Below are 15,103 nucleotides of genomic sequence, written 5' to 3' on the forward strand. Positions count from 1 at the left end.
AGATGATTCTATATCTAGAAAACCCTATAGTCTCTACCCAAAAGCTCCTTGATCTGATAAACAACTTCACCAAAGTTTCAGGATACAAAATCAACATTCAAAAATCACCGGCATTCCTATATACCAACAACATCCAAGGCGAGAGCCAAATCAGGAATGCAATCCCATTTACAACTGCCACAAAAAGAATAAAATACCTAGGAATACAGCTAACCAAGGAAGTGAAGATCTCACACTGCCCAAAGAAATCAGAGATGACACAAACAAATAGAAAACATTCCATGTGTATGGATAGGAAGAATCAATATTGTTAAAATGGCCATACTGCCCAAAGCAATTTACAGATTCAATGCTACTCCTATCAAACTGCCAATGACATTCTGCGTAGAATTAGAAAAAACTATTTTAAAATTCATATGGAACCAAAAAAGAGCCCGAATAGCCAAGGTAATCCTAAGCAAAAAAAAACAAAGCTGGAGGCATCAGATTACCCAACTTTAAGCTATACCATAGGGCTACAATAACCAAAACAGCACAGTACTGGTACAAACACAGACACATAGGCCAAAGGAACAGAGGACAGAGTGCGGAAATAGTGCCACACATCTACAACCATCTGATCTTTGACAAAGCTGACAAAAACAAGAAATGGGGAAAGGGCTCCCCACTTAATAAATGGTGCTGAGATAACTGGTTAGCCATAGGAAGATGATTGAAACTAGACCCCTACCTTATACCACATGTAAAAATCAAGTCAAGATGTATTAAAGACAAATGTAAAACTTAAAACTATAAAAACACCAGAAGATAACTAAGGAAATACCATTCTGGACATAGGATTTGGCAAAAATTTCATGACAAGGACACCAAAAGCAATTGCAAGAAAAATGAACATTGACAAATTGAATCTCATTAAACTAAAGAGCTTCTGCACAGCAAAAGAAACTATCAACAGAGTAAACAGACAGTCTACAGAATGGGAGAAAATATTTGCAAACTATACAACTGACAAAAGTCTACTATCCAGAATCTATAAGGAACTTAAACAAATTTGCAAGCAAAACCCAAGCTACCCCATTAGAAAGTGGGCAAAGGATATGAACAGACATTTTTCAAAAGAAGACATGCATGTAGCCCACAAGCATATGAAAAAATGCTCAATATCACTAATCGCTAGAGAAATGCAAATCAAAACCAAAATGAGATACCATCTCACACCCGTCAGAATGCCTATTTTTAAAACAAAAAAGAAATAAACACACACTTTCCACAGAACCCAAAAAAGATATACTCAAGAGCTGAGATTTAATAACCTTAATAATTGTTATTGCTTCATTAAGAACATTCTTAAGTAAAACTAGCATTTATTTTCCCATGAATGCATGACAGTAGTGAATACAATGACCACCAGTAGAGTTTAGTACCACTGACTTGATTTGTGCTAGTGTGGCTACAGTATTTCCCATGCTGAAGAACCGCTGTTTTAGGTGTCTCTGCACACTATTTAAAACCACACTTCCTTTCCTCATGAGGGCTTCAAGAACCAAGAATTGATAAAATTGCTTCTCCCCCCTTAAACTTGTGCATGTTGATACATCCCTGAGTCTCTCTACATCTTGTTTTGCCTTCAGACTTTAAGTATTTATATGAAGCATTTAAAGGATATAAACTCTTGCTGATTGCTTGATTGATTTTTTAAAAAGCTTTAGAAATCAACTGCACATTAACAGGTTAGAGTACACCTGGCTTAAGTTCCAAGTGACTGACTCATTAAGGAGAATGTTGAAAAGCTGGAGGGTGTCCAGGAGAGGTCAGCTGGGTGAGTTGAATGGCTAAAACCACATCCTCTTAGTACCTGTTGTGAGAACTAAAGATGTTCATACAAAAGATCTCTTGGGAGGACATAGAGGCTACCATCAAATAGAAGAATTGTGCTGTGTGGAAAAGTTATTAGATGGCTTGCTCATAGTCCTGGAAGATTATTTTTAATTCAATATTTTTTTCTAAAAAAAAGACTTTCTAAGAACTCTCTGTCCACCAATGGAAAGGGCTATTTTGAGGTGTTGGGAGCATCAATCAACATACGTGGCACGGGCTGAAAGAAAAGGGAAACTTAGATACCAAGGCCTGGAAAAGCTCATAGTTTGCAGAAGGCTCACTTTGGAGGCCTCCCAAGCTTACCATGGCTTGCCTGCTTGTTTTCACATCTGCGTGGATAAATAAATGTGTCCAGAGGTAGACCACAGCCGGGAATACTTGGTGGGTTGCATTACCATTAAACAATTTCAACTCTCAGTGGTCCATATTCCTTTTTTTTTTTTTTTTCTGAGACAGGATCTTGCTCCGTCACCCAGGCTGGAGTGTAGTGGTGCGATCTCAACTCACTGCAACCTTCACATCCCAGGTTCAAGTGATTCTCTTGTCTCACCCCACCAAGCACCTGGGACTATAGGCATGCACCACCTTGCCTGGCTAATTTTTGTATTTTTAGTATAGACAGGGTTTCACCATGTTGGCCAAGCTGGTCTTGAACTCCTGACCTTAGATGATCTGCCCATCTCAGGGTTCACATTCCTTTTGAAAACAAGAGTTGGACTGTGGTATCCTGGGAGATGCTGTCAAAAGCCATGGAAGCAAATGCACAGGTACGCAGAAAAGCACACAGAATTTCAAGACACCCACAGACCCCAGATTAAGAAGGCCTAAACTGATAACTTCTAATGTCTTTTCCAACTCTCAGGTTCTATATTTCCATATATCTTAGGCATTAAGATGCCTTAATAACATTTTCATAATTTCTTGTTCCATTTATTATGAAAGTAAAAAGATATGTTTGATGAATTAAAAAATAAATTGGGCTGGGGGGATTGATTCTAGCAAAGTCAAGGTATTGCTGCCTAGTACCTAGTATCAGGAAGGATGGTTATCTCCATATCCAGTGCATGATACGGATATATACTGAAGACATACCTGAGACTGGGCAATTTGTAAAGAAAAAGAGACTTAATGGACTCACAGTTGCACTTGGCTGGGGAGGCCTTACAATCATGACGGAAGGTGAAGGAGGAGCAAAGGCACGTCTTACATAGCGGCAGGCAAGAGAGCGTGAGGAGGGGAACTGCCCTTTATAAAACCATCAGATCGCAAGAGTCTTATTCACTATCACGAGAACAGCACGAGAAAACCTGCCCTCATGATTCAATTACCTCCCACTGAGTCCCTCCCACAACACATGGGGATTATGGGAGCTACAACTCAAGATGAGATTTGGGTGGGGTCACAGCCAAACCGTATCAGCCAGATAGGTTTTAAAAGCCTTTATGGGGTGGTGGAAACAAGTGGACATTGGAAATCAATCAGAGACAGGATCAGGACTTGTTTGTGGACTCAAGTGTCTTGTTTGGGTGCGTTAGATGAATCATTTAACCCCACCTATAAAATATATGTATGTTTGTATGTTTTCACACCTCTCACAGAAATATTGTAGTTATAAAGTAAGTGGTATCGTCGGGGTTTTTTTTCCCCAAGATAAAGCTCTACCAACACTGGGATTTATTAAAATTTGTTTGAATGCTTGCCTCAGGAAACTATTTACTGAGAAAACTGAAAAATTAGTTGGTCAAAGGAAATGCAGCTAATACTCTGTGATTAGAGCAGCACATTTAACACAGTGTCTCATTAAATGCTCTTTGACAAATTCACTTAGATTATCTTGGTTATGACTTGTGACAAGGACCAAGAAATGGCTTGAAGGCCTGGCAGGCCAAAGTGACAGTAAATGGTCGCTGAGTTGTGAGAAAATGCAACAGGGAAGGTGCAGGGGCAGGGAGGATAAAGAAGGGAGCTTCATGAATTGATGCTTGACCTGGTCTTATTTGATATCCTCATTAATGATACGGAAGAGGCGTAAATAGCCTGTTAATTAAATTTTCAAATGAGACTAAATTAGGAGTTGTTGTAAACAGGCTCAAGGACGAAGTAACAGGAAGGCACCTTGAAAGGCTGGAAGGATGGGCTTGAACAGAAAAAGCCAAAAACGTGTGTGTTCTAGAAGCAAGCAGTGGGCAAGAAACAGTAGGAGCCCCTGCATGTCTTTTGGGTTCTCTTGTTCCTCCTTTATTTTCTCGCTCTGGTGGAGCAGATGCCTATCAATACCACTTGGGGGCATTCAGGTCTGCACACCTTGAAGCTTGCTCACATTCTGCCTGAAGGGTCTATTCTGGCCTTAGGAGTAGGAGAAGCCAGCAGTATGGGAAAGTTAATGCCCCAGAAACAGCTCTCAGCCAAAGGTGAATGGAGGGGAGTAGATAAATACCCCCACCTTCTTCACCCCTCTGTTTGGGTAACTCCAGATGGCTGCCAGAATTCCTCAGCAAGACAGACCTTCAGCTGCCCAGGGAGGTAAGTGGCATGAGGTTGAGCCCTTTATTGGCTTCCTTTCCTTTCCTATCACTTCCCAGCTCATCTACCAAGGTTGGGTGGGATCACCTCTGTCTCGGTCAATTTTTTGCTGCTATAATAGAATACCATAGACCAGGTAATTTAAAATGAACCCAGGGACCCAGGGGACATTTGCAAAAGCAGGCTGAGTACCTTTAATGGGGTTTGGATTCATGTTTAGGATTAAAATCCTAAGTCGGTCAACCAAGCCCACCTGTCCCATTAGACTCATGTTTCTGAAGATACAGTACCATGTAAAACAGGGTTCTCAAAGAGTGGTCTAGAAACCAGCAGTTCAGACTCACCTGGGAACTTGTTTTAAAAATGCACATTCTTTTTTAAAAAAAATAAAATGTTTCTATTTCAATACCTTTTGGGGTACAAATGGTTTTAGATTACATGGATAAACTGCGTAGTGGTGAATTCTGAGATTTCAGTGCACACTTTATCCCAATAGTATACATTGTACCTAATATTTACTTTTTAATCCCACATCTCCCTCCTATCCTCCCCCTTCTGAGTCTCCAAAGTCCATTATAACACTATGCATGTCTCTGCATACCCATAGCTTAGCTCCTACTTATAAATGAGAATATAGGATACTTGGTTTTCCATTCCTGAGTTACCTCACTTAGAATAATGGCCTCCAGGCAGGGCGTGGTGGCTCACGCCTGTAATCCCAGCACTTTGGGAGGCCAAGGCAGGCAGATCACCTGAAGTCAGGAGTTCAAGACCAGCCTGACCAACATGAAGAAACCCGGTCTCTACTAAAAACACAAAAAATTAGCTGGGCGTGGTAGCGCATGCCTGTAATGCCAGCTATTCAGGAGGCTGAGGCAGGAGAATTGCTTGAACCTGGGAGTTGGAGGTTGCGGTGAGCCAAGATCACACCATTGCACTCCAGCCTGGGCAACAAGAGTGAAACTCTGCCTCAAAAAAAAAAAAAAAAAAAAAAAAAAAGAATAGTGGCCTCCAGCTCCATCCAGGTTGCTGCAAAAGACATAGAAATGCAAATTCTTGAGCCCCACCCCAAACCAAATTAATCAGCAATTCTAGAAATGAGGACTAGCCATTCGTGTTTTAAAGAGCTCTCCAACTGATTCGGATACCTGCTGAAGTTTGAGAACCAGTGGTTTACTAGGACTGAATCCAGACTCATGGACACCATGGTACTGTGGGCAAGTTAAACACATCTCCTGGCCTCAGTTTCCTCTCTATGAAAAAGGGGATAATGATAAGAAAACCTTCAAGGGACTGATGTAAGAATTAAACAAAACAATGTGTGTAAACTACCTAACACATCATCTCAAACACAGGAAATAGTGATGTCTTTCCCTACCTCCCTCTCCCCTGAGACAGATGACAGTTCAGTGCAACTTTGATTCCTAAGACGTGGCTCTAATTTAAACTGAGGGTGGATTCTGCTTTGTCCCATGGACTTTGAAAAAGGGATTTTTATAACCAGTATACTCTCAAGTGACTGTGTCTAAAGCCCCAGGACAGACTGGAAGAGACAAGTGAGCAAAATGTGCTGACAGTTTTCAGGAGAGCATTGCTGGAAAAATCCTTGGCCATATTGAGTCTTTGTAGTTCAGGTTAGTATCTACCTTTCCACTAGCTTATTTATCATCAGGAATAGATACTGGAGAAACTAGAGCCTCGATGGCCCCATGAATGTCAGCACACCTGAGATAAGGCCAGATCCCCAAGGCAGTGACCCCGTTTCTCTGGCCTTAGAACGGTACCTCTTTTGACTTTCTCATGGTTATGTAACTTAACCACATGTCCCTGGCGTCCTCCGCACTCACTTGTAGGGCTAATTGGCCCGTTTTCTTATATTTCTTATGCTCAAAAGAAAGGCATCCTTTCCATGTCTCAATGTCCCAATGACCCAACCACAGAACAAGGCATTCTACCCTCACCCTCATTTGTCATGGTACAAACAACCAAATGTCACCTCAGTAAATATTAGTGGAAATAAATTAACTAAAGAAACCCAAAACCCATGGGACATATGGAATTACATTAGAATCTGTGAACAATGGGGTGATAATGGTAATAACCTATGTCCAAGGAGACTTTTTCACAGAACTGAAAACACTTTACAATTAAGTGCCACATCAGTGCTAAATTTATTAGTGGGTAATTGGATGCAGCCTTAGCAAAACTCAGGCTGGACAGTACCACCCCTACCCAGTGGAAAGCTATTCTTTTCATCACTACCAAAAAAGCTCCTCCCAGCACTCCCATCAATAAGAAAATACAGCAGCTTTGAATCTGAACTGTAGTGAGCCAAATCGAGGTTATCTCAAAACATTGCAACTAAAAATGTATCTTTCCATAACATGGAGAGATAATCTATACCCCAAGATTTATTTTTTTAGCATAACAATGGTTTCAGCAGGAGTGCTATATCATACAGTGGAGTTCAAGCATCCTTTTCAAATACATTCAAATTTCAGTGCCAAGGGCATTGAATTCCTCTCTGTGCTTGATCCTGAACAATGCTGTAGAAAATACAAATAAGTGGTTTAAAAGGTCCATAAGAATGCAAAACATGCAATTCCATTATGGTATCATATGAGAATGATATAGTATCAACATGATAATGAAGCAAAAGAGAAGGTTCCATCAACTCTGGCTTAGAGAACACATTTAACAAATGAAATCTGGATAAAAGCAGAATGGCTGATAGCAACTCTAGGAAGTTAAAGAAATCCCCTATGCAACATGTTTTATTTTTATGTATCTAACTGGTGAAATTTGATAATTTGTATTTGAAAACTGTAAGGAAGAAAATCTGAGCCTTCCAATTTAAAATTATAACTGGATTACAACTCTGGACACACTACCATCAGCCTTTCCATAAAAATATTTATAGGCTGGGCACAGTGGCTCACGCCTGTAATCTCAACACTTTGGGAGGCTGAGGCGGGTGGATCACGAGGTCAGGAGTATGAGACAAGCCTAACATGGTGAAACCCCATCTCTACTAAAAATACAAAAATTAGCCGGACATGGTGGTGCACACCTGTAATCCTAACTACTCAGGAGGCTGAGGCAGGAGAATCACTTGAAACTGGGAGGCGGAGGTTGCAGTGAGCTGAGATCTTGCCACTGCACTCCAGCCTGGGAGACAGAGTGAGACTCCATCTCAAAAATTAAAAAAAAATAAAAAAAATAAAATCTATGAAGACCCAGAAGATGAAACACCACAGAATAAGAAAACTGGGATTTGCAGTCAAACTCTTACCAGAATTTTGGAGAAAGCTCTACTAATCAAGAAGCAATAAACCAGATTGGAAAACTTGCTTCGTGACTCACCAGTTGTATGTCGGGCTGAAAAAATGCTCCCATTGTCAACCAAGATTCAGGCATTCATCATCTGTGCCAATCACAAAATTGGAGAGCTGATTTTCCCCATCATGGGGGTGCACTGGAGTGCCCTCTACTCCAATCAATATTTCTCTATATATCTCTACTCAAAGACAGCAATAATAATATTAATAATGACAACCGCAGCTATTACTTAGAATTTCCTATACACTCTGCTAAGTGCTTTACAAGCATTACCTCATTTAAACCTTGCAACAAAAGATAAATGAAATGAAAAGCTGGTTCTTTGAAAAGATAAATAAAATTGATAGACTGTTAGCAAGATTAACCAAGAAAAGAAGAGAGAAAATCTAAATAATCTCAATAAGAAATGAAATGGGAGACATTACAACTGACACTGCAGAAATACAAAAGATCATTCAAGGCTACTATAAACACCTTTATACATATAAACTAGAAAACCTAGAAGAGATGGATAAATTCCTGGAAAAATACAATCTTCCTGGCTTAAATCGGGAGGAATTAGATACCCTAAACAGACCAATAATAAGCAGCAAGATTGAAATGGTAATTTAAAAATTACCAACAAAAAAAGGCCAGAACCAGATGGATTCAGAGCAGAATTCTACCAGACATTCAAAGAAGAATTGGTAGCAATCCTATTTACACTATGCCACAAGATAGAGAAAGAGGGAACCCTCCCTAATACATTCTATGAAGCCAGCATCACCCTAATACCAAAACCAGGAAAGGACATGACCAAAAAAGAAAACTACAGGCCAATATCCCTGATGAACATAGATGCTAATATCCTTAACAAAATACTAGATAACTGAATCCAACAACATATCAAAAAGATAATCAACCATGATCAAGTGGGTTTCATACCAGGGATGCAGGGATGGTTTAACATATGCAAGTCAATAAATGTGATACACCACATAAACAGAATTAAAAACAAAAATCACGTGATCATCTCAATAGCTGCAGGAAAAGTATTTGACAAAATTCAGCATTGCCTTATGATTAAAACTCTCAGCAAAATCGGCATACAAGGGACATACCTTAATGTAATAAAAGCCATCTATGACAAACCCACAGCAAACATAATACTGAATGGGGAAAAGTTGAAAGCATTCCCTCTGAGAACTGGAACAAGACAAGTATATCCACTCTCACCACTCCTCTTCAACATAGTACTGGAAGTCCTAGCCAGAGAATTCAGACAAGAGAAAGAAATAAAAGGCAAAGGGCATGCAAATTGGTAAAGAGGAAGTCAAACTGTCCCTGTTTGCTGACTATATGATTGTTTACCTTGAAAACTCTAAAGACTCCTCCAGAAATCTCCTATAACTGAATTCAGCAAAGTTTCCAGATACAAGATTAAGGTACACAAATCAGTAGCTCTCCTATACAACAGTAGCAAGCAAGTGGAGAATCAAATCAAGAACTCAACCCCTTTTATAATAGCTGCAAAAAAATAAATAAAATACTTAGGAATATACCTAACGAAGGAGGCAAAAGACCTCTACGAGGAAAACTACAAAATAATGTTGAAAGAAATCATGGACGACACAAACAAATAGAAACACATCCCATGCTCATGAATGGGTAGAATCAATGTTGTGAAAATGACCATACTGCCAAAAGCAATCTACAAATTCAATGCAATCCCATCAAAATACCACCATCATTCTTAATAGAATTAGAAAAAAGCAATTCTAAAATCCATATGGAACCATAAAAAAAACCTGCATAGCCAAAGCAAGACTAAGCAAAAAGGACAAATCTGGAGGCATCACACTACTTGATTTCAAACTACACTATAAGGCCATAGTCACCAAAACAGCATAGCACTGGTATAAAAATAGGCACAGAGACCAATGGAACAGAATACAGAACCCAGAAATAAGCCCAAATACAGCCAACTGATCTTCGACAAAGCAAACAAAAACATAAAGTGGGGAAAGGACACCCTTTTCAATAAATGGTGCTGGGATAATTAGCTAGCCACATGGAGGAGAATGAAACTGGATCCTCATCTCTCACTTTACATAAAAATCAACTCAAGATGGATTAAGGACTTAAATCTAAGACCTGAAACTATAAACACTGGAAGATAACATTGGAAAACCCCTTCTAGACATTGGCTTAGGCAAGGATTTCATGACCAAGAGCCCAAAAGAAATGCAACAAAAACAAAGATAGATAGCTGAGACTTAATTAAACTAAAGAGCTTAGTCAGCAGAGTAAACAGACAACCCACAGAGTGGGAGAAAATCTTCATAATCTATACATCTGACAAAGGACTAATATCCAGAATCTGCAATGTACTCAAACAAATCAGCAAGAAAAAAAACAAACGATCCCATCAAAAAGTAGGCTAAGGACATGAATAGACAATTCTCAAGAGAAGATATACAAATGGCCAACAAACATATGAAAAAATGCTCAACATCACTAACAATCAGGGAAATGCAAATCAAAACCACAATGCGATATCACCTTACTCCTGCAAAAATGGCCATAATCAAAAAATCAAAAAACAGTAGATGTTGGCATGGATGTGGTGATCAGGGAACACTTCTACACTGCTGGTGGGAATGTAAACTAGTACAGCCACTATGGAAAACAGTGTGGAGAATCCTTAAAGAACTAAAATTAGAACTACTATTTGATCCAGCAGTCCCACTACTGGATATCTACCAGAGGAAAAGAAGTCTTTATATAAAAAATACACTTGCACATGCATGTTTATAGCAGCACAATTCACAATTGCAAAATCATGGAACCAACCCAAATGCCCATCAATCAACAAGTGGATAAAGAAGCTGTGGTATATATATAACAAGGAATACCACTCAGTCATAAAAAGGAATGAATTAACAGCATTTGCAGTGACTTAGATGATATTAGAGACTACTAAATGAAGTAACTCAAGAATGGACAACCAAATATTGTATGTTCTCATTGATACGTAGGAACTAGGCTATGAGGACGCAAAAGCATAAGAATGATACAACGGACTTAGGGGATTTGGGGGGAAGAGTGGGGGGAGCAAAAGATAAAAGACTACAAATAGGGTGCAGTGTATACTGCTCGGGTGAGGAGTGCACCAAAATCTCACAAATCACCACTAAAGAACTTACTCATGTAATCAAACACCACCTGTACCCCAAAAACCTATGGAAAAATTTAAAAAATTAAAATTGAAAAAAGTTGAATACAGAAAAAGAAGCTTAGAAAGGAAAGTGAGAAGAAGCAACTGTGGCAGGGACCCTTAGAGAGAAGAACCTTTCAGGTAGTAGGGTGTCAACAGGGCTGGTAATTTTGACTTGAGTTGGCTTTAAAAATATAGCTACTTACTCATTCCAAATTAGGGTGAATCATACTGGACATCCAATTTAAGACGTGGCAATCTGAAACAATTGGATATTTCAAACTCTATTGACCTATATTTCTTTTCTTATCTATATGGATACTGCCATCTGCTGATAACTGGCATTTTTGAGGGGTCTTTTTTTGTAATTACGACATTGTATTTAAGGTATTGTTGCCCTTGTTCCCTTTGAGGGGTAGATTCTTCTCCCAGGTCTCCACATGGCTGGCTCATTTTCATCCTACAGTTTGTAGCTCAAGTGGCAATTCTTCTAAACAGTTATCCCTGATCACTACATCTAAACAACTTCTACCCTCTACCCCTAGTTAATATCTATTTCGTCATTTGTTTCACTCATTTAATTTCAGATTTATCATAATTTGTCATTACTTTATGATTTTATGTCTTCATTTCTTGCTTGTGTGTCTCTTGTCCCAGAATATAAGCTTCATGAAAGCAGGGACCTTGGTTCTCTTGTTTACCACTGCAATAATAGCACCTAATGCCACCTGTCTCTTAGAAAGAGCTTAATTAATGAAAAAAAGAAAAAAAAAAAACCTTGCAACACTCCGTAATACAAATGCTATTGTTATCTTCATTTTAGGGAACTGAAGTTCAAAGATATGAAACAATTTTGCAAAGTTCACAAAGCTTGAAGAAGTAGAACTGGGATGTAAACTCCGATTACAAGACTCTTGAGCAAGTAACGATTAGATTATAGCACAGCCCTTATAAGATATTTGTGAAGAAATACAGAGTAACATAGGGTAGCATTTAGGATCACAGGAGATACTGTCCTTTCGAGTGATGTGATATAAGGGCTGAGGGAAAGCAAAGAAATGGAGAGCTTTAGTAGCCGTTATATGACAGAAATTTTCATTTTTGTGCATTCAGTCTTTTCAGAATATCAGAGCTAGGAAATACAGAAAGAAGTTCCCGTCTTGGTCCCAAACACTCACCCTGTAAATGATATCTAGCCATACCACTGAGAAAGAAATGTTACCAGCACCAAAAAGCAAGGCCAAGACTGAGTGAAGCATTCTTTCCATGTATTTGTAGAAATAATAAAATAAATAAATAAAGCATGTAAATTGAATACAAGTGGGAAAGAACATTTTATGAAAACTCGGAAAATGAAAAGACTTCTGAAAAAATTTATTATAAAAACTGGAATCTAGAAAAATTATCTGGGATTCTCATTTAAATAGAGAACAATTTAACTTCCATGAGGCCAAAAAAAAAAAAGAAACCACTAAGCGATAAATAATTGAGGACAAAAGTCAACAGGATAAAATTAAAAGTGATATAGTGATATAGTCAAATAGAAAAGATTTCAGAGGAATTAGAAAAGCAATAACAGAATATAGAACTACACTGGAGGCAAAAAGGAGTGTAATTGACACTGCAGAAAATCTATCAGAGATATGGGGGAAAACTTCAGAAGTTCAGAGAAAATTAAATATTCAGAGAAAAATTAAAATGTTAGGAGCAAATATAAAATAACATCTTGATAAACATCTACCATGTTCCAAGAAAAACAGTGGAAAGAAATAAACACATGGACCCATCTAGAAATGTATAACCACTAGGATAAAGTTTTAAACATTATACATTTATAGGTAGGAAAAAAATCAGTTTACATAGAATAAAAGGCTGGCCTCATACATTTTTCTTCTAAATGCTAAAAAAAAAAAATGAGGTAATGATTAATACATTTTGAATATGACAAAGTTGTAAACCAAGAGTATTATACCCAGCCAATTCATCTTTTTGAGTAATGAAAAAGAAAGTCTTGGAGAGGCAAAAGTGATAGTTTACCTACTTGCCCTTCTTTTAAAATTAGAATTAAAATTAGGAAAACTCAACTCAAGGAAGTCATAATGTAAAAGGACTGGTAGCCCTGTGCGGTATTACTTCAGACAACCACACTTGAACCAATGAACCTGCAAGAAAAAAAAAATTCACCTACTTCCATTAAAAAAGACTAGGGGAAATAAATTTTGTGGTCATATTTAGTGCATAAAAAATGTATATATATTTTTAATTTTAATTCAACACATTTTCTTTAAGGAGCTCATATTATTTAATAGAATATAAATAAAGAGAAAATAGCATGTTCAGAATTCATCATACTTGAGCTAAAAGAATCAATATCTTTGGCTTTGCTCTGCTGGCATTAAAGCTTTCCAAGTATCTATTTTAAAGAAGTAGGACACTGTTTCTGGCTGGTTATGTTCTCTGCACACTGACTGTTGTGCTAAGGGGTTGACTAGAAGATCTCCATGGCCCCTATTCAAAAACGCAATGACTTTTCTGGTTCAGGAAGCTCAGTCAAAGCAGCCCGCCAATCCTGCTGGTCAGCCTTGCCCTGGGATGCAAGTCTTGTCAACTGGGGTACATTTCAGAAGCTTTCTTTCCCTAATTTTTTAAATAACTTTTTTTAAATCACAAAAGTAGTCCATGCTTGTAACAGAAAATATGGAAAACTCTAAAATATAAAAAGGAAATTAGAAAATGTCTCATAATCTCATGATTCAGAGTCCTGATTTTTCATTTCCAAGAATTCCAGGAAGCAAGTCATTTAAAGGCAGGACATCACCACATCCTATGGGGCTGCCACAGTTTCCATGGCTTCACTTTGGAAAGGAGACAGACAGACTTAAGCAAGCTGCCTCGCAAGGACTTGAGCACTCCTCATCTGAGCTGTCCACACACTCCAAGCTCAAATAAAATAAATATGATAACACCCATAGAAGCACTTTATAAACTTCCAAGGATTATACAAATGTTACTTGTAATTATTCTCAGGATCAAATGGGTTGGTATACTGACATTGTCATTATTGCACAAGGGGAAATTTGTTTCTGAGGAACATTTTCTCAATTTCCTGCCTTTGAAGGGGCTGCTGTCATTTCAGCTTTTCTCTGTGTGGCAGGCTACTCTCTGGAACCTCGTCTCCCACAATGATCTGGCAAGGCCCATGGTTGATCCTGGCAGACACATACATCATTTCAGGAATCTGCTGCCATATTCATAGGGCTGCACATTTATGTATAGTGTTCAGCTCTGCGTTGACCCCACAAAAGAACACAACTTCAAATGCTTCACTTTAAGGCACAGAAAATTCAAGAAGACTGGCCTCCCAGAAGAATGCAGCAAGAGCCCAGCATTTTTACAAACATAGGTATTTATGTCTACATGCTTTCTTATTGTCGTGTGCGTCATTTACCCTGTCAAGATGTGAATGATGTTACAATAGAGCCTTGTGAGAAAGGGATGAAAAGGAAATGTTGCAATTTGTCAGGGTGCAGGGGTGGAGTTCCCTGTCCTTAATTTCATGTCCCCTAAATCACGGCTGGTGGCCTTGTTGTTCCTTGTCTGGGAACACTCTTCTCTAGGCTTACCTAAAACCACTCCTTCCTAATTTTCCAGCCACATAACTGGTCATTTTCTTTCCTGGTCTCCTTACTCATTCCCCCTTCTCTGCTCAACTTTTAAATGTTGGAGTGATCTCAGTCTACAGCTTCCAGAGAGCCAAGCTCTTGTCTGATGGTTTGCCACTATAGCCTCTCATGACAAGAATAACGTCTGGCACTTAGTAGCTGCTCACTAAGTATGTTCAAATGAGTGCATGAAGTCATATATGAATTTATGAATTGCTGACAACCTCTCTATTTCAATTGCTGACAACCTCTATATTTCATAACACAAAATTTTCTCACACTTCCAAACAATTTATTCTCATGCCCAGAGCTGCCTACCATTGCTAGGTCATTTCATTGAATAAGATTCATGAATGTCTGCCTGTAGCTTTAGACCCAAGCCCCCCCGCCCTTCCCTTTATGAAGATACCTAAAGTCACATGGCCCATGGATCTCCTGCCTTACAATCAACTCTCATTGAGGCATCCACCTCTCTCTTCCTTATTCTTTGAAACACTTATAACCA

The sequence above is a fragment of the Homo sapiens genome, chromosome 18 (genome assembly GCF_000001405.40).
Source record: "Homo sapiens chromosome 18, GRCh38.p14 Primary Assembly".
Classification (NCBI taxonomy): domain Eukaryota; kingdom Metazoa; phylum Chordata; class Mammalia; order Primates; family Hominidae; genus Homo; species Homo sapiens.